Here is a 24,273-nt window from a genome sequence, read left to right as displayed (position 1 = left end):
AGACCTCCAACGTGTCCGTTGAAATTCAGGGTAAGAGTTGAGAAGTTTCCCTGTTTGTTCTAAGAGTTCTTACCCCAACCTCAGGGGAAATCAATAGTAAATTTACTCTGACTTCAATGATAATAAAGAAGTGCCCTTGCCTCATCCTCTTTATATAAAGCAATAGAGCCACATGGTTCAAAAATGAAAACAATATGAAAAGGTATTGTAAACCGGGTAAGTGTCTGAGACAAGTCTCGCCCATTTAGAGGTTTATTTTGCCAAGGCTGAGGATGTGCCTGAGACACAACCACAGATCTGTGGCCCCCGCACACTTTCCAGAGAGGATTTTTAGGGCCTCAGTATGTGGGATATGACGACGTTTCTCTTCAAATAATCTGATCAATCTTTTATTCTTTAATTCATAGCGCCCCGCCCCCTTTTTCTCCTTTTCCCTTTTTGCCTTTGTGAGATGCCCAGGCACGCCACAGCACCAGGCGTTATCAGTACCAGCTCACATTCCTTTCCTTATTTGGAAAGAGGACTAACTTTCTAGCTCATTACAGACACCCCTTCCCCTTCCTCTCCGCTTTCTTTTACGGGCCCACCCTATCTAAAAAAATCAAATGTTTAGCCAAGCGCGATTAGTTTAGATTGTACGACCTGACCCCGGCCAATGGGGAAAGGGTAGAGGGGCAGGACTTGTGTCAGGAACAAAGGCTCTCGTGCCCCTTTGTTCAGGTGTGCTCTCATGACAACTGGCCAAGGAGGCACCCCTCTGCACAGAAGTAAAATTGCTTTGCTAAGAATCCTTTGTTCGAGTGTTCTATTTCCTTAGGATTTTGAGCATTATTCCTAACAAGTATTTAAAAGGGAAAGAGCAGGAAGGGAGGGAAGAGGGAAAGGAAAAATACAGGAGGGTAGGTAGGGAGATAAGTGGTTACATTCTTATTAGGCTTTGATCAGCGCTCACCAAATCTACATGTCACAGTGAAAGGAGGGGGTAGAGGAACAGTCAGTTTTGCATTCAGCTCAGTAAATCTACATTTAGCACTCACCAAATCTACATGTTACAGTGAAAGGAGCAGGCAGAGGAACAGTCAGTTTTGCATTCAGCTCAGTAAATCTACATTTAGTGCTCACCAAATCTACATGTTACAGTGAAAGGAGCGGGCAGAGGAACAGTTACGCATTCAGCTCAGTAAGTCTACATTTAGCACTCACCAAATCTACATGTTACAGTGAAAGGAGCAGGCAGAGGAACAGTCAGTTTTGCATTCAGCTCAGTAAATCTACATTTAGCGCTCACCAACTCTACATGTTACAGTGAAAGGAGCGGGCAGAGGAACACTCAGTTATGCATTCAGCTCAGTAAATCTACATTTAGTGCTCACCAAATCTACATGTTACAGTGAAAGGAGCGGGCAGACGAACAGTCAGTTATGCATTCAGCTCAGTAAATCTACATTTAGCGCTCACCAAATCTACATGTTACAGTGAAAGGAGCGGGCAGAGGAACAGTTATGCATTCAGCTCAGTAAATCTACATTTACTGCTCACCAAATCTATATGTTACAGTGAAAGCAGCAGGCAGAGGAACAGTTATGCATTCAGCTCAGTACATCTATGTTTTGTCTCGGCTGGTGAGGGATGGTTTCTGGTGTTGTCTTTGTCCCTTACCTATGAAGATAAGCTGTTAATTTATATTGTCAGGTGAGGGAGACCACCTGGGGAGATATGTGGCCTTCTGTCTTGTAGCTTATCTGTTTAGGAACAAAAGGAAGTTTTTTGCATATTCCATGACTCAATTTCCAAGCTTAACTTTTCCTTTTCGCTTAGTGAATTTGGTCCCAAGATTTTATTTTCCTTTCACAGTATACCCCATGCCCATCAATCCCATTCCCCCTGCATCCTATAGGTAACCTCTTCTTAAGCAAATACAAATAGATAAATCCTTATTTTCTGTTTTTTTTTTTAAAACTTTATTTTACTGTTACTTTCTGCTGTCCTAATTATGGCACATTTTTACTTTCTAGGTTCTGTGATTTACAGAGTGGTCTGGCTATGTGGACAGCTTCTAAATTGTCACCACATTTTGGAGCAAGATGTATTATTTTTACAATTAATTTACATTTAACATGAATCATGATCCTAAGTGCATCAGAATGTCTTCATAACATTCGCCAAAGAAGAGAGGGCAGCACTGCTGTTCTACAGTGTGGCTCTCACCTGGTCCACAGTTACCAGAAATAGTTCTTTCGTTGCTGTGATGTCCTGGGTGGGCTTCATTCTTTAGTAATGTACTTTGTCTACAGCAACTTCCTGCAACTATGTGAACAGATCTTGAAGACACACAGTGAGGTTTGGTTTCCTTTGTCCTCTTAAGTCTTTATGGTTGTTGCTTCTATTGTTTATTGGTCCCAGTGAGAACTGCAGCTGACCTGATGTCATGATCTGTGAAGATAGTTTCTATTAAAGAAGAAGTACCAGGAAATCCCATATGCCACCGTAGACCTGCCTTTCTGGATACCATTTACTACTCCATACTCCAGCCGCCATGCACAATGGTTGTGTATGAGGCTCCTGTGATCATTAACAGGAGTAGAAGCTGGGCTCAGACACTCTGGCACTTGCATAGGTCAAGGGGTGTGTTGTGCTCTTGCAACAAATCCCACATAGACATCCATATGCATATTGTCCCACCGTCCCCTAAGCAGAAACCAGGGTTAAGTACAGAATAGTCCCGGGAACATTTTGGTTGCCCGGCCTTAGGTGAGCCTTTCTGGGGCTGGGATTTTGACACCATCTGCTCCATTGTTTCTAAACTGCTGTGTTCTGGCGCATCAATTGTTTCATCACATTATCATCACGGAAAGCTTGGTCTCCCTCAAAACATGAACCGGGTAGGCCCTGTGTTCCAGTGGGGGCTTTTGGACTTGACTTTAGTGTTTAGGAGGACAGAGTCCCTCTCCCCTCTGTGGTGCTGGGGTATTAGTAAATCAGCCTTGAAGAGATAAGGGGCTGGGGCCTCAACCTCCCAAGAGGCTGTCACTGGAGAATGGTCTCCTGCCCTCAGATCTTGGGCATTTCCACAGCACACTGTCCCCCTCGTCCTTCCAAATACCTACATACGCTCTTGTAATAGGAGAGCTGGGAACTCCACCCAAAACCATACAAAAAGTTAGTCTGTGTATTTGGACGCCTCCCCAGCACTCAGTCACCGAGTTTCTCCTTTCCAACAGCAGTCACTCTCATGCAGTTTAAGTGATTTATTGATGTCTCGGCTAAGCTTGCGACAGTTTCAGGACATTTCAGCCATCAAGGTCTAAGAAGCCCTTTCCATTCCCGAGGAGCCCTCAGCCAGCCTCCTTCTTCCTCATCTCCTCACTCTGGCCGCGTAGCCCCTCATGGCGTCCATCTTGGACGCCCCTTTGTTCGCGCTCCACGCCCCCCACTTCCTTCTTCGTCAGCTCCTCCACTTTGGCCGCGTAGCCCCTCATGGCGTCCATCTTGGACGCCCCTTTGTTCGCGCTCCACGCCCCCCACTTCCTTCTTCGTCAGCTCCTCCACTTTGGCCGCGTAGCCCCTCATGGCGTCCATCTTGGACGCCCCTTTGTTCGCGCTCCACGCCCCCCACTTCCTTCTTCGTCAGCTCCTCCACTTTGGCCGCGTAGCCCCTCATGGCGTCCATCTTGCACGCCCCTTTGTTCGCGCTCCACGCCCCCCACTTCCTTCTTCGTCAGCTCCTCCACTTTGGCCGCGTAGCCCCTCATGGCGTCCATCTTGGACGCCCCTTTTTTCGCGCTCCAAGCCTCCCACTTGGCCCTGGCTCTCACGTCTGAGGCCGGAGGGCCGGGGATGTCGCAGTCGCCCTGGGTGGCCTGTTTGTACAAGCCGTAGACCAGCAGCTTCTCCTGATCGCTCACGGGACCCTTCAGCTGCTTGAGGGCCGCGCAGCTCGAACTCCACTTGGCACATGGGGTGGTGGAGGCGGTCCCTGGTGCTAGAAGCTGGAGGTGGAGAGTTGGAGTGGCTGTTACTACTCGATCTCAGGGGGAGGAGACAGGCACGCGATGTTTGTGTTTTGTCAAGCACAGATTGCAAGCTCGGGGTCCAGCGTAAACCCCACCATGTTTGGGCTCACACGGCGCATTTTCTGGGGAGGACCAGCCGTCAAAAAGCGTCTAGGATCCGGAACGCTGCTGTCTGGAGGGGGCGGCGCGGCAGGAGCGCGTTGAGGGACTGTATGTGGCGCGAGCTGGGCGGGTGGGAGTGGAAGCCTCGCGTGGTGCGGCCGCGCTGGGTGGTGGGCGTCCCGGGGGAGGCGCTCGGTGGGGGTGAACTGTGTGCGGGGCACGCCCGGGGTTACCGGGTGAGGGTGAATGCGGGGCCGGGGAATCATGAGCCCGACCCGCTGGGACCCCGGAAGAGGGGCCGGGCAGGGGACGGTGCGGAGGGGTCTAGTGAGCGACGTCCGGGTACCTGAGGGCTGGTGGGAGGGCTCTGCCGGAAGGCGGCGCTGTGCGCTTGGCGCGCTCGTTCGTGAGGACTGCGCGTGCGCGGCGGAGGCTGTGGGCGGGGCCGGGCGGAGGTTGTGAGCAGGCCTAAGCGCGGCCGCCGTGGCTCCTGCGTCTCCCATCGTGCCGTGCGTCCCGCGCCGCGTTCGAGTTCTCGGAGGGGAGGGGGCGTTAGCCCCGCGCAGCCGCCGGCGTCGCCGCCATGGACCTAGGTGGGTGCCGCGGCTCCCCGGCCCCGGGCTGCGTCCAGCAATGCGCCACCAGAGCGGTGCTGCCCCGTCGCGTCTCCTCCTGTCGCGCACGCTCGCGCGGGCCCGGACCGAAACGTCCCCCGCGTCGGGGCGGGTCTAGGGGTCCCGGGGTGGCCTTGGCGGGGGGTGGTCCGGGTCCCGCCGCGCGTTGGGCCGCGTCTTGCCGCCTCCGGCCCCCTGCGCTTGAAAACACGGAGCAGACGTGAAGTTAGAGCCCTTGGAAGCGCCCGGGGCTCGCGCACGTGCTTTGGGAAACGGGCTCCCTCCGAGCACCCCTGGGCGCCCCGACGGCCTCATTTCCTGAACGGCAGCTGCGTTCTTGAGCAAGTGTCTTAACGCTCCAAGTGTCTTACGCTCATGACGTTTCCTCATCGACAGAGCGGGGAGAATGGAAGTGTGTCTCCCCACTGAGTTTTGGGCGACTTTGCATTGAGATCGCCGAGGTACAGTGTCCCTTGTGGGGTTGCGCGGGTCACACCCGCGGTGGGGGCGGCTGCGCTCCTGAGGTATCACTTTGTGAACCTGCGTGCGTCCGGATTCAGAATCTTACAGGCAAGGTCTGGGAGGGAGCCCATAGGAACTAGATGCTCCCTGCTAAATCTTGGCACACGCTGCTAAGACCAGGAGGCTGTTCTGGGAGAGCTGGGGGTGAGGCACCCCGAGATGTGTCAGCAGTAGTAGGCTGGGGGGAAATGGTCTGGTCCCCGCCCCCAGACAGCTTTTCAGGAGCGGAATGGCAGAGCTCTAAGGGCTTGGAGCCCCTCAGCCGTAATTGCTTCCCAGCCCCACCACATTCAGGCTGGGACACCCTCAGCAAATCGTTTCTGCGCCTCAGTGTCCTTATCTCTAGAGCAGGAATACTAGTCCTCAAAAGGTGATTGTGAATAGAAGAGATCTTACCTGTGTACCACCTAGCACAGTGTCTGGCATGGAGTAGGTGCTTAATAAACCTAAGAAGCGGGCTGTGGCAAGCACTAGTTAACCATCCATGATAGAGTACCGGAGTATTTTCCAGCTAGTAACCGCCCTGGGACTTACTACTTCAAACTGTGCGTACTTAATGCGCCTGGAAGGCAGGTGTTTAGGGCCAAACATCTGCTCAACTAAGCCAATAATGCAATAAAATTAAATTTACAGCGTCAGGAGGGACTATATTTTGGGACCCTGGGAGAGCCTCCTGAGCCAGAAAGAAGGGCGGTAACCCCCAGGGAGGTCCCCTTCGCAGCGTAACCCTCCCTGGGAGTCGGTCTCAGCCACTGTGAGATGAGATGGATTGCCTCCACAAGTGGGTTACATAGTGCTGAGCCCTTGGCCTGCTGCCGCTCCCATAAATGGTGGGAGGGGTAAGATGGTCCTTAGTCTCCTGGAGTCAGTGTTTTCTCTGCTGGTGTCTGGCCTGTGAAAATGGGGAATATGAGCTCTTGGGGGCATGACAGACTGAGGAAGGAGTAGCATCTCTCACTCCTGGGAAAGGGGAGATGACTCAGGAATGAGGAATAGGGAGCAGTGTTTGCACCCTCGTTTTAGTTTCTGGGCCAAAGGAAACATACCTGATAAAGACCTACATCCTTTGATGTTTCTGAGCTGGGGGAGGCAAAGAATAGTGACAAGATTCTGGTCTTGCCAACCATGAAAAGGTTTGGGGAAACCAACATTTACTGAGCACCTAATTAGACTCTGTAACTGGATTCTTACTGTAGCTCTATCTCATTTATCCATCATAGCGTCCCGGGGAGATGGGGTCAGGAGATAGCAGTGCCAACCCACTAGCAAGGGCTTGACTGGTATATATCACATGATCCCCAAAGGCATAACATGAAGTCTGTATTATCCCCACATATGCAGAAGGAAGGCTTGGAGAAGCAATCTGACCAAGATCACATCCCTTTTTTTTTTTCGGAGATGGAGGGGGAGTCTCACTGTGTTACCCCAGCTAGTCTTGAACTCCTGGCCTCAGGGATCCACCTGCCTCAGCCCCCCAAGTAGCTGGGATTACAAGTGCTAGCCACTGAACCTGGCCAGAATCACATCATTTTTAAATGGCTGAACTAGGATTTAAACCCATGTCTGATTAAACATCCCAAGATGTTTTCCATGGTAAGTCTGTGTCAATCGTTAGTTCCCTGAAGGAAGGCTTAATCTAGCACAGTATTTTCTGTATCTACTCCCTGGTTTCTCCCACAGAGCTAGGGCCATGAGTACCTTGTTTTTGACTGGAAGGAGCTGTGGGGTGGACCGTTTCCCTGAAAGCTAGAAGAATGTTTGAAGCCTGTTCCCAAGGCAAGTTTATAAAGAGTGAAGGCAGGGCTTGTCTGATTCCTTCTGTGCCCATTGCTCTGTGGCTATGTGATTGCTCTGTGCCCATTACCCTGTGGCTGTGTGACTGCTGCTGTGCCCGTTACCCTGTGGCTGCGTGATTGCTGCTGTGCCCATTACCCTGTGGCTGTGTGATTGCTCTGTGCCCATTATCCTGTGGCCGTGTGATCGCTCTGTGCCCATTACCCTGTAGCCGTGTGATTGCTGCTGTGCCCATTACCTTGTGGCTGTGTGATTGCTGCTGTGCCCATTATCCTGTGGCTGTGTGATTGCTCTGTGCCCATTATCCTGTGGCTGTGTGATTGCTCTGTGCCCATTATCCTGTAGCCGTGTGATTGCTTCTGTGCCCATTACCCTGTGGCTGTGTGATTGCTGCTGTGCCCATTATCCTGTGGCCGTGTGATTGCTGCTGTGCCCATTACCCTGTGGCCGTGTGATTGCTCTGTGCCCATTACCCTGTGGCCGTGTGACTGCTGCTGTGCCCATTACCCTGTGGCCGTGTGATTGCTGCTGTGCCCATTACCCTGTGGCCGTGTGATTGCTCTGTGCCCATTATCCTGTGGCCGTGTGATTGCTCTGTGCCCATTACCCTGTGGCCGTGTGATTGCTCTGTGCCCATTACCCTGTGGCCGTGTGATTGCTCTGTGCCCATTATCCTGTGGCCGTGTGATTGCTCTGTGCCCATTATCCTGTGGCCGTGTGATTGCTCTGTGCCCATTATCCTGTGGCCGTGTGATTGCTCTGTGCCCATTACCCTGTGGCCGTGTGATTGCTGCTGTGCCCATTACCCTGTGGCCGTGTGATTGCTCTGTGCCCATTATCCTGTGGCCGTGTGATTGCTCTGTGCCCATTATCCTGTGGCTGTGTGATTGCTCTGTGCCCATTATCCTGTAGCCGTGTGATTGCTTCTGTGCCCATTACCCTGTGGCTGTGTGATTGCTGCTGTGCCCATTATCCTGTGGCTGTGTGATTGCTGCTGTGCCCATTACCCTGTGGCTGTGTGATTGCTCTGTGCCCATTACCCTGTGGCTGTGTGATTGCTCTGTGCCCATTATCCTGTGGCCGTGTGATTGCTGCTGTGCCTGTTACCCTGTGGCTGTGTGATTGCTCTGTGCCCATTACCCTGTGGCTATGCTCCCTTCATCTGTCATGAGAAGCTCAGCTGTCATGTCCTGTGGTACATGCTCAGTGGCCCCTGTAGTTTGTACTGTCCTCCTATTTCTAAACCCCTCTCCCCACATCCTCTGCTGGCCCAGCCTTTGCTGGAGGGTCTCGCCTCAGCAGCCCAGCTTTTTCTTTTCACACACTTTTCCTGAAGGATCTCATTCACCGTCTTGGTTCCGGTGATCCCCTCTGGGCAGATACCTCTCAGAATCACATTTCCCAGCTTACTTCCCTCCTGAACTTCCACCTGGCATTTCCGTTGCTGGAGGACATCTGTACCTTGATGGCCAAAGCTGAACTCATCTTTCCTCACACCTGCTCTGATTCTCCTCCATTCCCTGTATGTGATGTCACCTGGTGGCCTCCCAGTTCCCAGGCTGGAGAGCTCGGAAGCCATTCTGGATTCCTCGGCCAAGTCCTTCTGACTCCAGCTGTGCAGTGGCTCTTGTAGTCATCCCTTCTCCCCGTCCGCTGATGTCCTTTAAAACCCTTGTCATCTCAAACCATGACAGCCTACTAACAGCAGTGGCCATCTGGAAACATTTTCACTATACTGTCTTATTTGGCTTGTCTGTGTGCAGGACCCTTGAACATCTGTGAAGAAATGACTATTCTGCATGGAGGCTTCTTGCTGGCCGAGCAGCTGTTCCACCCTAAGGCACTGGCAGAATTAACAAAGTCTGACTGGGAACGTGTTGGACGGCCCATCGTGGAGGCCTTAAGGGAGATCTCCTCGGCTGCAGCACACTCCCAGCCCTTTGCCTGGAAGAAGAAAGCCCTGATCATCATCTGGGCCAAGGTTCTGCAGCCGCACCCCGTGACCCCGTCCGACACAGAGACACGGTGGCAGGAAGACCTGTTCTTCTCGGTGGGCAACATGATCCCCACCATCAACCACACCATCCTCTTCGAGCTGCTCAAATCCCTGGAAGCTTCTGGACTCTTTATCCAGCTCCTGATGGCCCTGCCCACCACCATCTGCCATGCAGAACTAGAGCGCTTTCTGGAACATGTGACCGTTGACACTTCTGCCGAAGACGTGGCCTTCTTCCTGGACGTCTGGTGGGAGGTGATGAAGCACAAGGGTCACCCGCAGGACCCCCTGCTCTCCCAGTTTAGTGCAATGGCCCATAAGTACCTGCCTGCCTTAGATGAGTTCCCCCATCCTCCAAAGAGGCTTAGGTCAGACCCAGACGCGTGCCCCACCATGCCCCTGTTGGCCATGCTGCTCCGCGGGCTGACACAGATCCAGAGTCGGATCCTGGGCCCGGGGAGGAAGTGCTGTGCGCTGGCCAACCTGGCTGACATGCTGACTGTGTTTGCGCTGACAGAGGACGACCCCCAGGAGGTGTCTGCAACCGTGTATCTGGACAAACTGGCCACGGTGATCTCTGTGTGGAACTCGGACACCCAGAATCCCTACCACCAGCAGGCGCTGGCAGAGAAGGTGAAGGAGGCAGAACGGGATGTCAGCCTGACCTCGCTGGCCAAACTCCCCAGTGAGACCATTTTCGTGGGCTGCGAGTTCCTGCACCACCTGCTGCGGGAGTGGGGGGAGGAGTTGCAGGCCGTGCTCCGCAGCAGCCAGGGGACAAGTTACGACAGCTACCGGCTGTGCGACAGTCTGACTTCCTTCAGCCAGAACGCGACGCTCTACCTGAACCGCACCAGCCTGTCCAAGGAGGACAGGCAGGTGGTCTCTGAGCTGGCGGAGTGTGTCAGGGACTTCCTGAGGAAAACGAGCACGGTGCTGAAGAACAGGGCCTTGGAGGATATCACAGCTTCCATTGCCATGGCCGTCATCCAGCAGAAGATGGACCGCCATATGGAAGTGTGCTACATTTTTGCCTCTGAGAAGAAGTGGGCCTTCTCGGACGAGTGGGTAGCCTGCCTGGGGAGTAACAGGGCCCTCTTCCGACAGCCAGACTTGGTGTTGAGGCTGCTGGAAACAGTGATAGACGTCAGCACAGCTGACAGAGCCATCCCTGAGTCTCAGATCCGGCAGGTGATCCACCTGATCCTGGAATGTTACGCAGACCTCTCCCTGCCAGGTAAAAATAAAGTCCTTGCAGGTATCCTGCGTTCCTGGGGGCGAAAGGGCCTCTCTGAAAAGTTGCTGGCTTATGTGGAGGGTTTTCAGGAAGACCTCAATACAACTTTTAACCAGCTCACTCAGAGTGCCTCCGAACAGGGCTTGGCAAAAGCTGTGGCCTCCGTGGCCCGCCTGGTCATAGTGCACCCGGAAGTCACGGTGAAGAAAATGTGCAGCCTGGCTGTGGTCAATCTCGGCACCCACAAGTTCCTGGCCCAGATTCTCACTGCCTTCCCTGCCCTTAGGTTTGTGGAAGAGCAGGGTCCCAATTCATCTGCCACTTTCATGGTGTCATGCCTCAAAGAAACCGTCTGGATGAAGTTCTCTACACCCAAGGAAGAAAAGCAATTTTTAGAGCTCCTGAACTGCCTGATGAGTCCCGTGAAACCCCAAGGGATTCCAGTGGCTGCTCTTCTTGAGCCAGACGAGGTGCTGAAGGAATTTGTCCTGCCTTTCTTGAGGTTAGATGTTGAAGAGGTAGACCTCAGTCTGAGGATCTTCATCCAGACTCTAGAGGCAAACGCGTGCCGAGAGGAATACTGGCTCCAGACCTGCTCCCCGTTTCCACTCCTCTTCAGCTTGTGCCAGCTCTTGGACCGCTTCAGCAAATACTGGCAGCTTCCCAAGGAGAAGCGGTGCCTCTCTTTGGATAGGAAGGATCTAGCGATCCATATCCTGGAGCTCCTGTGTGAGATTGTATCAGCCAATGCTGAGACCTTCTCCCCGGATGTCTGGATCAAGTCCCTGTCCTGGCTCCACCGCAAGTTAGAACAGCTAGACTGGACTGTGGGCCTGAGGCTGAAGAGCTTCTTCGAGGGGCACTTCAAGTGTGAAGTGCCAGCCACACTTTTTGAGATCTGTAAGCTTTCAGAAGACGAGTGGACCTCCCAGGCCCACCCAGGGTACGGGGCTGGCACGGGGCTCCTGGCCTGGATGGAGTGCTGCTGCGTCTCCAGCGGCATCTCGGAGAGGATGCTGTCTCTCTTGGTGGTGGACGTGGGCAATCCTGAGGAGGTCAGACTGTTCAGCAAAGGCTTTCTGGTGGCCCTGGTGCAAGTCATGCCTTGGTGCAGCCCTCAGGAGTGGCAGCGCCTTCACCAGCTGACCAGGAGACTGCTGGAGAAGCAGCTCCTCCATGTCCCTTATAGCCTGGAATATATTCAGTTTGTTCCCCTGCTCAACCTGAAGCCCTTTGCCCAGGAGTTGCAACTCTCCGTCCTCTTCCTGAGGACTTTCCAGTTTCTCTGCAGCCATAGCTGTCGTGATTGGCTTCCTCTGGAAGGCTGGAACCACGTGGTCAAACTCCTCTGTGGCAGTCTGACCCGCCTCCTGGACTCAGTCAGGGCGATACAGGCAGCTGGCCCTTGGGTTCAAGGACCAGAGCAGGACCTGACCCAGGAAGCCCTGTTTGTTTACACCCAGGTGTTCTGCCATGCTCTGCACATCATGGCCATGCTCCACCCGGAGGTCTGTGAGCCACTCTACGTTTTAGCCTTGGAAACCCTCACCTGCTATGAGACTTTGAGCAAGACCAACCCTTCTGTCAGCTCCTTGCTCCAGAGGGCACACGAGCAGCGCTTCTTAAAGTCCATTGCTGAGGGCATCGGCCCTGAAGAACGGCGCCAAACCCTGTTGCAGAAGATGAGCAGCTTCTGACTTGGCGTGGGGAGCTGGGCCCCAACATGGCGGGTCTGCAGAAGATCAGCAGCTTCTTACCTGTGCGGGAGCGAAAAAGCTGGGCTTCAACATGGCAGGTCTGTAGGGGTCAGACCCGAGCAGCCTGGACTTTACAGTTATGTGAAACTGTCCACAAAAAGTCATGGCAATAATGGTGTAAAGAAAATAGTTTCTTGGGTATTTGTAACGTACAAACTATCATAAAAATTCTCCTCTTTCGCATCTCACTTTGTCTCTTCTAAGTCGGCCTCAGCAATAGCCCAGGATTAAATATGCTCTGAAATTGGGTTTAGTGTCTTCAAGATCAAATCCAGCCAGGAGGAACATGTTCATAACTGGACTTTTCCATCCTAGATTTTGGCAAATAAGCCCAAAGTTGAAACCATGTGAGTGGAAAAAGCATTACATGGTACGTATAACCCCCTTCAAGAGTTATTTCGTCTTTTAATGTTTTTTTCTTGAGGTATCTTGGAAAGGACAGCAGCTTGGAAAAGAATCCAGTCCAGCCCTGGCTCTGCCTCTGGCCATGAGACTGCTGTGCCCGAGAGGCCTGCACAATTCTAAAATGAGAGGATTGGAGGACCAAGATAAACTCAGTGGCGAGGGGCTAGGTTAGTGACCTCAAGAAAATGGGTCCCCTCTGAATTGAGGAGTGTGTACAGTCTTTGTTGCTCAGACTAGCCTTGAACCCCTGGACTCAAGTGATCCTCCCACCTCAGCCTCCTGAGTAGCTGGGACAATAAGCACACCCACTTCCCATACAGTCTTAACTCCATCTATTCAGTCACCCCCAAAGGGGCTACTGTGAAGACGAGACCTGGCAAACCCAGCAGAGATGTGCTGAATGGATGGGTCACGTTAGCTTTTGCCTCAGGAGGGGTTGTCAAGATTTGGATGAATGAATGGTTTGGATAAGGGAATGATGTGTGCAGGAACATAAAAAATGAGTTTGGGCCAGGTGCGGTGACTCACACCTGTAATCTCAGCACTTTGGGAGGCCGAGGCGGGAGGATCACTTGAGACCAGCCAACATATGGAAGCCCTGTCTCTACAAAAAAAAAACCACAAAAATTAGCTAGGTGTGGTGACACACAGCTGTAGTCCCAGCTACTCAGGGTTCTAAAGCAGGAGGCTCACTTGATCCTGGGAGGTAGAGGCTGCAGTAAGCTGAGATCAGACCACTGCACTCCAGCCTTGGTGACAGAGTGAGACCCTGTCTAAAACAAAAAAAAAAAAAATTGAGAGTGGGCTAGGCATGGTGGCTCACACCTGTAATAATCCCAGTGCTTTGGGAGGCTGAGGCAGGAGGATCACTTGAGGCCAGGAGTTTGAGACCAGCCTGGGCAACAGAGATAACCTGTCTCTACAAAAAGAAAAAAAAATGAGTTTAAGGTGTCTGAGGTATGAGGAAACTATGAAAATTGGCTGGGGACATGTTTAATGTGTGAGATGAAAGGGGGAAAAAATATGTCCCATCACTCCCTCCATATCCACACCCTCCTTCACAATGGGGCATTACTCAGGTTCTCCTCAGGTAAAGTAGGCTTGGCTCCCTGACCAATAATCGGTCTTCCACTCTCCCAATTCCTAGTAAGATTCACTTATGAAGAGAAGAAACGGTCTCAAGTTACGTGTGACCACTACGCTTGAACTCTGGGAACCTTCAATGTATTACTGAGACCATGAACCACAAAAATAGGTTTGAGTGAGGTGTGAGCTAGACCTTTCTGGAGGCTGAAAGCATTCACACACACACCCCTCTGCTAGTTACATGGACACAGACCTTGAGCCACAGCACACGGCAGCCAGTCGAGCTAGGTCACAGGATGATTCTTACAGGACACTGATATTGATGTATTTCACAAATGAGAATAAGTTGGGAATGTTAGTGCAATTTAATCACCGTAAGGGTGACTTTTAAAGATACACTGATAGTTAAAAAAAAAAGACAATTAAAAAATAGCATTTTGTTTTTTAAATGGCACCCATTAAAGACTCAACAGTCAAAATGAGACAAATCAGTCCTTTAGACGTTCACAGACAATTGAAAGGCACTTTAAAAATCCACTTTTTAAACTACCACTTGAGAACACATGGTAGCACAGTCTTAAATTCATCCTAGTTGATCGGGAATGATGAATGAGTGTTGGCACCAGAAAATCCTGCTTGCAGAAGGGGGCGCAGGTGTCGGTCCACGGGACAGCCACTGGCCAGGCTAGCTGCCGCCTCACTCCGCAGCCTTCTGTGGCTAAATGGCAGGACGGACACACAGGAATGGGCTTTGGACCACAAGCTCTGGCATATCGGGAGGCAAAGCACTCAAGTACTCTGCAGTCTAGATGACACATTTCATGGTTTGGAGGACAGAAGTAGGTTTCCACATCACATGAAAAGGACAGTGTCACAGTGGGGTTACCCAGTAAACAGCTACCAAAGCCATCATTTCACGCTTCCCTGTAGTTTTATGAGCTCGCCCTCTGCATGTGGATATGGGGAAAGCCGGGCATGAAGGGGTGTGTGAAAAAGAACAGCCTCTGTGACTGACTGCAGTAAGCTCACAAGTTTGTCACTGTCAGACTTAGCAAGTCAGCCTGCAAAGGTTGTGCTGATCTCTTGGCCACACTACCTACTCAGGTTCCCATCCATGCCTCCTGCCTGCCCCCACCCCCAGCCCCACCAGTGAGACTTCTGATTGGAAGTCTATAGACATAAGAATTCAACTCTGACCCATGGATGAGAGGATGAGGCAAAGAACCAATGGGTTATCTAGTAAACGATCAATAACTACCTACCCACAATGATTGTCCCAGGCCAATGTCACAAGACGACATTACTTCCAAGAACCAAGTCATCCCTTGCTTCTGCGGGCCCAGTGCCACGGGTACTGTCCTGAGTGGTTTGGAAGGTGGGTAGCCGCTGATACAGGGACAGGCAGATGTGCAGACACTTACCACCCTGGTCCACCGATCCCACCCCATGCTTCCACCTCCCAGAGCTCTTGAGATAAGACCTTAAGAAGGATCCTTGGGCTTGCATTAAAACCACTTTGCTGTCCGTGGAGGTCTGACAGGACCCAATAGTTGTTACTACAAAAGTGCTTTTGCAAATAGGGCAAGTTAGAAGAAGGAGGTAATATGAATATTCTTTAGAAAAACTCAAATCCATCGGCTTATCAATACCCAAAGTCTGAGGCTACCCAGGGCACAATTTGGTCCATGGAATGCTGAGTGGAGGAGGCAGCTGGTGTGAGGCTGCGCCTGACTCCCAGGAGCATTTAGCCATCCTTTTTGGCTTGGGGAGTGTCAAAGAGCCGGACTGCCTTCCTGCACAGCAGACAGAACCAGTAGATCTGAGGAGCTACGAGGAAGGCATTGGCCACGTTGCAGTAGAATGGGATGCTGAAGGGTACTTGGAGCAGGCTTAGTCCCTGCTGGCGGCCATAGGACCAGTACATGAAGGGGAAGAGAAGGATCCGGCAGGAAAGGAAGGTGGCCAGCGTGAGGATTCCATTCACCTTGTACAGAAGGGTGTGCTGCTGCTTTAGCTGCAATAGAAGAGGAAGGAAAAAGGTAAGGTCACCAAGAAGCTGGGCATCAGGGAGCGACGGGCCCAAGTCCCACCACAGTAAATGCCACACAGGTGCAGGTGCTCATCAAGACCTTGGCTGTCAGATTCCCTGGCGCCCAGACGTTTGTCTAGTTTTCTAACACTTGGAGAAGACATTCTTGAACACTATCATATTGAGATGTGCAAATAACCTCATTTTCTCCAATAGTGATTTTGAATTTGACCCAGGCCACCCAGCTGACAGGAGTACAGGAACCGTGGATTAAAGTATGTGTGTAACCAGGGAAAAAATAGAATGAGCTGTATCAAACTATCAAACTTAGATCAAACCTACAATTTCACCCCCACTGGCTGAGATGACCAGCTGACCTTTAAGGCTGTTGAAGGATCTCTCATCCCACTCTCCTGGCACTAGGGATTTCTCCACACCCACCATCTCCGAAGGAAAAGCAGAATCCACTCCCTCCCACACTCTTTCTGCCATTTCATTCATGCATGCCTGAATCAGAACCCTCACTCTCTCTGCCATTCATTCATACATGCCTGAATCAGAACCTTCACTCTCTCTGCCATTCATTCATACATGCCTGAATCAGAACCCTCACTCTCTCTGTCATTTCATTCATACATGCCTGAATCAGAACCCTCACACTCTCTGTCATTTCATTCATACATGCCTGAATCAGAACCCTGCCCAGCGACACAAACGGAGTGCTCAGTTCTGCCGTGAAGATGCAGCCGACAAAGAAGTCCCCAAGGTCTCCCCGGAGCCTCTGCGGATGACGAAACGAAAAGGGGAAGTAAGTGGAGGTTAAGAAACCACCAGAAGGAAAATTCCAACGAGGGCTACTGAAAAGGGTAACTGTGACGGGCAAAGGACGCTCAATAGGCAAGCGCAGACTACTGTACCGCTGCTTCCGTGGCAACAGCACTTTGATGGTCCAAGCCCTAGGATCCAGAGGCAAATTCAGACAGGATGACGGCGTCCCACACCAAGCTCTGAATTTTGATGACAGCCGGAAGGAAGGCTGCAAGCCTACTTTTGTGTATCGAACTTAGTCATGCCAAGACACTCAGCCTGTTTGGTTCAACAAAATGTGCCAGGCCCTGTGCTAGATGTTAGGGTCTCAAAGCACCCTAGATGTTCTGGTTCCTAGATGGTAGGTCCCAGACACTTCTTAAAGAATTTAATGCACGTTACCCTTATTTATTTATTTTATTTTTATTTTTTGAGACGGAGTTTTGTTCTTGTTGCCCAGGCTGGAGAGCAATGGCGTGATCTCAGCTCACTGCAACCTCTGCCTCCCGGGTTCAAATGACTCTCCTGCCTCAGGCTCCTGAGTACCTGGAACTACAGATGTACAGCATCACACCCGGCTAATTTTTGTATTTTTAGTAGAGATGGGGTTTCACCATGTTGGCCAGGCTGGTCTCGAACTTCTGACTGGGATTACAGGCATGAGCCACCTCGCCCGGCCTCTTTTTTCAAGAAAGCAGTAAGCATGGTAAAATATCAGCTCTGCCACTTAGTACCACTGAGAGATATAAGAATACTCTTAGAGCCCCAGTTTCTTCATCTACAGCATAAGACTAATAGCTTCTAATATTTAGCAAGCTATGAACTTTTAAATCACATGCCTGGCAGGGCGCGGTGGCTCACGCCTATAATCCCAGCACTTTGGGAGGCTGAGACGGGAGGATCCCTTGAGCCCAGGAGTTCAAGATCAGCCTGGGCCTCATAAGGAGACCCCCATCTCTTTATTTAAAAAATAAAATAAAACTACATGCCGGCCAAGAGCAGTGGCTCACGCCTGTAATCCCAGCACTTTGGGAGGCTGAGGCAGGTGGATCACCTGAGGTCAGGAGTTTGAAATCAGCCTGACCAATATGGTGAAACCCCGTCTCTAATAAAAATATAAAAATTAGCCAGGCATGGTGGCGTGCATCTGTAAACCCAGCTGCTTGGAAGGCTGAGGCAGGAGAATCACTTGAACCCGGGAGGCAGAGGTTGCAGTGAGCCATTGCACTCCAGCCTGGGCAACAAGAGCAAAACGCCATCTCAAAAAAATGAATAACTAAATAAATGAATAATTAAAAAAAAAAACGCATGCCTTCCCCTGGCCAGGCACTCAAGAGTGAGGAATTTCCCCTCAGCTTTCCCATTGCTTTTCTTTGTTGGGTGGGCTTTTATGGGGAAATGGATCTGGGGAGAAAGTAGGAGGCTATTTGCTTTGAGAATCTGTGTTTTGTGACCTAAGAATAATCCACACAGTGCTCTCTGGCACTGTTATGTTGCTTTGTATTATATTTGTATTTTATATTGTTTTTATCTTGTATTGAACTAAGGATAGAACCTCTGACAAACGCTAGGGAATCACAGAGCGCTGGGGGTTTGTTAAAAAGAATGTTGGGGCCGGGTGCAGTGGCTCGCGCCTGTAATCCCAGCACTTTGGGAGGCCTAGGCAGGAGGATCACTTGAGTCCAAGAGTTTGAGACCAGCCTGGGCAACATGGAGAAACTCTACAAAAATTACAGGAATTAGCTGGACGTTGTAGTGTGTGCCTGTGTTCCCAGCTTCCTGGGAAGCAGAGGCAGGAGGATCACTTGAGGCCAGTAGTTTGAGGCTACAGTGAGCTGTGATCCAACAACTGCACTCCACCCGGGGTGACAGAGTGAAACCCTGTCTCAAAAAAGAAAAAGTATGTTGATGTTGATGTTGGTAAGGAGGATCATGAACGTTTCATGTGTAATGGTGTTCCTCCACTATTCACCTGGGGGAGGTGGCTCTGAAGCAGCAGGCACAAGGAGAATGGGTGCCTATGAGTGGCAAAGAAAAGAGGGGCAATCCCGACTCCTAAGTAACGGTCAAGACATCCAGCTCAGGCCGGGCGCAGTGGCTCATGCCTGTAATCCCAGAACTTTGGGAGGCCGAGGCGGGCGGATCACTTGAGTTCAGGAGTTTGAAATCAGCCTGGCCAACATGGCAAAACCCCATCTCTACTAAAAATACAAACATTAGCCGGGCGTGGTGGTGGGCACCTGCAATCCCAGCTACTCAGGAGGCTGAGGCAGGAGAATCGCTTGAACCCGGGAGGCGGAGGTTGCAGTGAGCTGAGATCACACCACTGCACTCCAGCTGGGGCGGCAGAGTGAGACTGTCTCAGAAAAAAAAAAAAAAAAAGACACCCAGCTCAACCCAGCTGCTGGTCTGCTGTCCTGGAAGGCCATACCTGTGCGACTGGCACAAGGACAAAGAGAATGACCGCATGATGTGTGATCATGAGGCGGTTTCGACTTAGGAAGTTTCGAAGAGTGAGGGAGGGCGCACGGTTCTGGTCTCTGGTTCGGCACCATTCACAGAGGTACATGGCGTACGAGTCATAGATCATGTATGGAATCAGAAACCACACATATTCCCGGGCAAGCCAGTGCCTGAAAGAAAGCATATGAATGGCCCGTGAAATCATTGTGGATATCCATTATGAAGGCTCACAGCCAAGCTTGGTGCTTGATCAGCTATTATTATTCCAAATACTTTACAATAAAGATGTTGAAACTGATAAACAGGGAGAGTAGACCACTTGCTCTCAGTTTCAGGGCCAATTCGTGAGTGTCAAAGGCAAAAAGCAGGCATTCACTCAGCCCTGCCTGTTGAAGCAGCTTGCTGTCACTACTTGCCTGACTTAGCTACTAATTTGTAGTAGATGTTCTGGCATTTTGTGATAAAACTGATTTTGATATAGATAGATATACAAATGATTCAACGGCCCCACCAAGAAGCTGGTTTGGAAAGTGTCCCAAATCACAAATCCAACATTTCTAGTTTAACTCCTTAGCTGCTCAACAGTTGGGGGTTTTACTAACTTAAATCCTGGAACCTGTGAGTTTTCTCTTGTCTGCATGCAACCCCACTCTATGGAGTTTCTGGGAGGCAACCCTGGCCATTTTCTTTACAATTCTAGAGCTGGCCGGGTTCGGTGGCTCACACCTGTAATCTCAGCACTTTGGGAGGCTGAGGCGGGTGGATCACTTGAGGTCAGGAGTTCAAGATCAGCCTGGCCAACATGGCGAAACCCCGTCTCTACTAAAAATACAAAAATTAGTCAGATGTGGTGGCGCACACCTGTAGTCCCAGCTACTTGGGAGGCTGAGGCAGGAGAATCACTTGAACCCGGGAGGCGGAGGTTGCAGTGAGCCGATATTGCGCCACTGCACTCCAGCCTGGGCGACAGAGTGAGATTCCATCTAAAAAAAACAAAAACAAAAAAACCCAAAAAGCAATTCTAGAGATAATCTCAATTCCATTAAGAAAAACAGGTCTGGAGGCTGGGCGTGGTGGCTCACACCTGTAATCCCAGCACTTTGGGAGGCCAAGGCAGGTGAATCACAAGGTCAGCAGTTCGATACTCGCCTTATCAACATTGTGAAACCCCGTTTCTACTAAAAATACAAAAATTAGCTGGGCATGGTGGTGTGCACCTGTACTCCCAGCTACTTGGGAGGCTGAGGCAGGAGAATCGATTGAATCTGGGAGGCAGAGGTTGCAGTGAGCCGAGATCGCGCCACTGCACTCCAGCCTGGGCAAAAGAGTGAGACTCCGTCTCAAAAAACACACAAAACACAACAAAAAAAAGCAGGTCTGGAAATGAGCCTGGAGCTCAAGGGCCACATTACAGCGGTTAGGTACCAGGAGAGAGGCTAGGTCAAAAGACAGTTTTCCCATTTACTTATCCAAAGGGGCTGAATCAGTATTTGCTGAATGGAAATCATAGTTGATCACCGTCCTAGAGCAGATTAGAAGGGAAGCCTCTACAATTCATACAATGTGGTTCCCAGTGATAAGCATTCCACAGATGTTTTCTGTGAAGAAACATCTAAATTGAAATCATGTACTATTTGAGGATTCCATTCACATGGTCAGCAAACGTTTGATGCGCATCCACGTATTAGGTAGAAAACCATTTCGTTTTATGGTTCTCAAACTACCTGAACATCAGAATCACCTGCAGTGCTTGTTAAGCGCTCCAGTCCCCAGAGATTCTAAATTGTAAGCCGAGGGCCCTGAAATCTGTATTAACTTTGTCTCTGATTTCGGACGCAGCCAGTCCGCTGAACTGCAACACTGGAAATACAGTCTACGGAGGCGCCATCTGAATTTGTGCTCTTGAGCAACTCCACACTTACCACGGCGTAAATAATGAATAAACAAATAAGGCAAGCAAGTAATGGCAAGTATAACACACTTGTAGGTGAATTCATTAGCCAGGTTCCTTTTTTTTTTTTTTTTTTTTGGTTTTGGTTTTTGAGACAAAATCTTGCTCTGTCGCCCAGGCTGGATGTAGTGGCGCGATCTCAGCTCACTGCAACCTCTGACTCGTGGGTTCAAACGATTCTCCTGCCGCAGCCTCCCGAGTAGCTGGGATTACAGGTACCTGCCGCCACGTCCGGCTATTTTCTTTTTTTTTTTCTTTTTAAGTAGCGATGGGGGTTTCACCATGTTGGCCAGACTGGTCTCAAGCTCCTGACCTCAAGTGATCCGCCCACCTCGGCCTCCCAAAGTGTTGGGATTACAGGCAGGAGCCACCGCACCCGACCTAGCTAGGTTTCTTTTGGCCAAAAAGATGCCATACTTATTCCAATGCCCATCTATGGTCTCAGGTGCTTTCTTCAAGCAATTTCAAGTAAAATACCTATAAACAGCTACTAAAATTTAGCTGAAATATAACTGGCCTCTCCCCTTGAAGGGAACCTAGGGTTTTCATGTTTTCACCAATTCAGAGAAGAGATCTGAAATTGTGACTCATGAGTAGAATCCTCTGAAGATTTATTAGCAAGAGATCTGGATTATAATCTTCACTATCACTAGCCTGTGATTTAACTTTCTTTGTAAAATGAAGATGATAATCCTTGTCTGTCTTACCTGTCAAAACTGCAGTGAAGATTAAATAATTAAATGTGGGAAAGTCGGCCGGGCACGGTGGCTCATGCCTGTAATCCCAGCATTTTGGGAGGCCGAGGCGGATGGATCACCTGAGGTCAGGAGTTCAAGACCAGCCTGGCCAACATGGCTTTACTAAATATACAAAAATTAGCCAGACGTGGTGACACATGCCTGTAACCTCAGCTACTCAGGAGGCTGAGGCAGGAGAATCACTTGAACCTGGGAGGTGGAGGTTGCAGTGAGCCGAGACCTCACCACTGCACTCCAGTCTGAGTGACAGAGTGAGACTCCATCTCAATAAAAAGAAAGGCGGCGGGGAGGGGGAGTCCTTTTAAATGTTAAAAGGTACTATACAGGCTGGGCACGGTGGCTCACACCTATGATCCCTGCACTTTGGGAGGCCTGAGTGGGAGAATGGCTTGAGCCCAGGAGTTCAGACCAGCGTGGGTGACAGAGCCAGACCCTGTCTAAAACAACAACGTACTATCTGAATTAAGTACTTAAATTGAGAAAACCACCTGGAGCTGTGACTTTGTCATTTTAGTGTCTGAATCCTTTAAGAATCTGACTAAATCCTTGGCCCCATACCACCTTCTGCCTATAATTTGGGGGGATTTTTAACTCCTTCTATCTAATCGCATTCTATGTGAAGGCATAAAATGAGAAGGCATATAATAGAAAAATATTCAGTATATAGTATATGAACCCTGAAAGGCCTTTTTTGGCTGGGTGCAGTGGCTCACGCCTATAATCCCAACACTTTGGGAGGCCCAGGCAGGAGGATCGTTGGAGCCCAGGAGTTCAAGACCAGCCTGGGCAACGCAGGGAGACCCCTGTCTCTACCAACAACAACAAAAAAAAGTTAGCCAGGTGTAGTAGTGTGTGCCTGTAGTCCAAGCTTGGGAGGCTAAGGAAGACGGGTGGCTTGAACCCTGGAGTTCAAGACTACAGTCAGCTGTCATTATGCCACTGCACCTCAGCCTGAGGTCTCGACAGGAAAAAAAAAAAGTAAAAAATTTGCTGGGTGTGGTGGCTCATGCCTGTAATCCCAGCACTTTGTGAGGGTGAGGCAGAAAAATGACTTGAGCCCAGGAGTTCAAGACCAGCCTGGGCAACATAGTGAGACCCTGTCTTTAAAAAAAAAAGAAGAAGAAGAAGAAGAAAAATTGTACCCAGCCACACCAATATTAACCTTTGGTGTCTACAATCGATGTCACTTGATCTATCGTAGCATCTACTTATTCATCGCCAATAGCCAGTTTTGTTTTTAAAAAGGCAGAAGAAAAGCACAAAAATCATGACAGCAGGATTGATCCCAGGTAAGACCGCAGGCTAGAGTGAGACGGACAGCTTGCTCAGGCCCCTCGCAGTTCAGTCTCAGCAGGTGAGAAGCAGGACTTGGCAGAGCCCACAGGAGAGCAGGGCCTGGAAAGGCCGTTCAACTTCCTGCACATCCGACTGTGGTCCTTCAACTTGGGAGAAAGTGAGTGTGATTCCAGCAAGACCGGTGGGGAAAAAAAAGGCTTGAAATAATAAAAGCACCACCATTGTCCAGGTCTAACTACTGTACAAAGTCGACTATTCTGGTCTTAATTTATGATTTGTTTCACTGGAACTGCAGATAGGTGCACATTTCCTGACCTGCCTCTGGACTGACCTCTGATAGACGTACAAGTCCGTGTTCTAAGCGCTGGGAACCTCTCAATCACCTTTAGCAAATCTGCAGGAAAAGCAAGAGCGGCGTTTGCGTGGAAGGGGGTGGTGGGTTGGTTCCTTTCCATGGAGGGGGCTCTGCTAACCACACTGGACGTCTGTTAGCCAGTGATGCTCCAGAGTGAGAACCCAGTGAAGCCAACTGCAAGAATCAAGCCACACTCCCAGTCGTAAATGCTTCCACGCTTATCTCTTCCATGAAGGACCTGGATCCCTGGCTCACACCACCTGAAATCAGACTCCGACTCTGTCGTCCTCCCTCATTTCCGTGGACTTTCTCCTAAGCTGGGGGTGCCCGAAGACTCCGGAGAGGAAGAAGGAGCCCATTGTGGTGCCAGCTTTTCCCATTAGTCAGCTTTCTGAGCGCGTGTGCTGCGAGAGCCAGAGCCTGCGAGCTACTGAAATGTGACATTTGCAACAAGGCCCCGGCCCGGGCTCTTACCTGCCGGTGATCACGTCGTCGCAGGAGCGAATGATGACGATCCCCGAGCCGGTGGCCAGCACGGCGTGCACCGAGGAAACCAGCCTAGCGCGGGCGGAGAGAACAGCGCGCGCGCTCAGTCCGGTCCGAGGACCGCAGGGAGCCCGGCCCGGCCCTTCGGCCTGACTCTCCCCAGCCGCAGGCAGATGTGGGGAGCGGGCTCCGGAGGCTCATCGGCCATTCCCGCCCGCCCCGGCCCCGCTCCCGCCAGGGGAGGACGCGGAGGGGCTTCGGAAACTCGGGCCGCCGGGACGCGGAGGGAGCAGCCCCCGGGCTTCCTGCCGCCCCCCTTTTCCGCCCTGGGCCCCGCGGCCGGGTGGGGTGCGGTGGGCAGCGCCCCGGGCCTCGGGGGGCGTCTCGGCGGCGCCGGTACCTGGTGCTGATCATCACGCAGTCGGTGCGGCTCCATCCGGGCTGGGAGCGGCGCAGCGCCCAGGTGCAGAGCGCGAAGAGCCCCGGGAAGAAGAGCGCGCCCCCGGCCAGCGTCAGCAGCATCGGGGCTGCGGGTCCGGCCGCCTCGCTGGCGCCGCGTGGCTGGGTTCGGCTCGGCGCGCCCCGGCCCGGCCGCGCGATTT

At 51.2% G+C, this 24,273-nt stretch overlaps 2 protein-coding genes and 1 pseudogene across 13 annotated transcripts, besides 5 other annotated features; 1 reads left to right on the top strand and 2 right to left on the bottom strand.

Moving 5' to 3' along the window:
• DBIL5P (diazepam binding inhibitor-like 5, pseudogene) lies at nt 1,505–4,508 on the bottom strand (annotated as a pseudogene). Its single transcript, NR_024120.2, has one exon. The product of NR_024120.2 is annotated as a diazepam binding inhibitor-like 5, pseudogene (transcript).
• Nucleotides 2,431–12,420, top strand: GEMIN4 (gem nuclear organelle associated protein 4). 8 transcript variants are annotated; one of them, XM_047436180.1, is made up of 4 exons: nt 2,431–2,882; nt 6,593–6,844; nt 6,932–7,027; nt 8,809–12,420. In XM_047436180.1, exons 3-4 carry the CDS (start codon nt 7,006–7,008, stop codon nt 11,973–11,975), a joined length of 3,189 nt encoding a protein of 1,062 aa, XP_047292136.1. In that variant the 5' UTR covers nt 2,431–2,882; nt 6,593–6,844; nt 6,932–7,005; the 3' UTR covers nt 11,976–12,420. The 8 variants fall into 8 exon arrangements, with proteins under 8 accessions (XP_047292136.1, XP_016880198.1, XP_011522213.1 ...); XM_017024709.2 differs by lacking the exon at nt 2,431–2,882 and adding an exon at nt 4,048–4,223; XM_011523911.3 differs by lacking the exons at nt 2,431–2,882; nt 6,593–6,844 and adding an exon at nt 4,048–4,223.
• Nucleotides 4,198–4,457: a silencer, noted in NCBI's record as "silent region_7945". NCBI's record gives its function as "represses an Ori minimal core promoter by ATAC-STARR-seq in GM12878 lymphoblastoid cells {active_cell/tissue: GM12878}" and the evidence as "EXISTENCE:reporter gene assay evidence [ECO:0000049][PMID:35858748]".
• Nucleotides 4,638–5,057: a silencer, noted in NCBI's record as "silent region_7944". NCBI's record gives its function as "represses an Ori minimal core promoter by ATAC-STARR-seq in GM12878 lymphoblastoid cells {active_cell/tissue: GM12878}" and the evidence as "EXISTENCE:reporter gene assay evidence [ECO:0000049][PMID:35858748]".
• Nucleotides 5,238–5,297: an enhancer, noted in NCBI's record as "active region_11439". NCBI's record gives its function as "activates an Ori minimal core promoter by ATAC-STARR-seq in GM12878 lymphoblastoid cells {active_cell/tissue: GM12878}" and the evidence as "EXISTENCE:reporter gene assay evidence [ECO:0000049][PMID:35858748]".
• Nucleotides 13,873–24,245, bottom strand: TLCD3A (TLC domain containing 3A). Of its 4 annotated transcripts, NM_024792.3 has the most exons (5): nt 24,072–24,245; nt 23,660–23,743; nt 18,794–18,995; nt 16,241–16,336; nt 13,873–15,540 (listed from the first exon to the last, which is right to left on the bottom strand). In NM_024792.3, the coding sequence occupies exons 1-5, from the start codon at nt 24,191–24,193 to the stop codon at nt 15,271–15,273; spliced, it is 774 nt and encodes a 257-aa protein (NP_079068.1). In that variant the 5' UTR covers nt 24,194–24,245; the 3' UTR covers nt 13,873–15,270. The 4 variants fall into 4 exon arrangements, with proteins under 4 accessions (NP_079068.1, NP_001304935.1, NP_001304936.1 ...); NM_001318006.2 differs by lacking the exon at nt 16,241–16,336; NM_001318007.2 differs by lacking the exon at nt 18,794–18,995.
• Nucleotides 23,829–23,928: a silencer, noted in NCBI's record as "silent region_7943". NCBI's record gives its function as "represses an Ori minimal core promoter by ATAC-STARR-seq in GM12878 lymphoblastoid cells {active_cell/tissue: GM12878}" and the evidence as "EXISTENCE:reporter gene assay evidence [ECO:0000049][PMID:35858748]".
• Nucleotides 23,999–24,268: a silencer, noted in NCBI's record as "silent region_7942". NCBI's record gives its function as "represses an Ori minimal core promoter by ATAC-STARR-seq in GM12878 lymphoblastoid cells {active_cell/tissue: GM12878}" and the evidence as "EXISTENCE:reporter gene assay evidence [ECO:0000049][PMID:35858748]".

The sequence above is a fragment of the Homo sapiens genome, chromosome 17 (assembly GCF_000001405.40).
Source record: "Homo sapiens chromosome 17, GRCh38.p14 Primary Assembly".
In the NCBI taxonomy this organism is placed as follows: Eukaryota; Metazoa; Chordata; class Mammalia; order Primates; family Hominidae; genus Homo; species Homo sapiens.
This window is presented reverse-complemented; position numbering and strand designations above follow the sequence as displayed.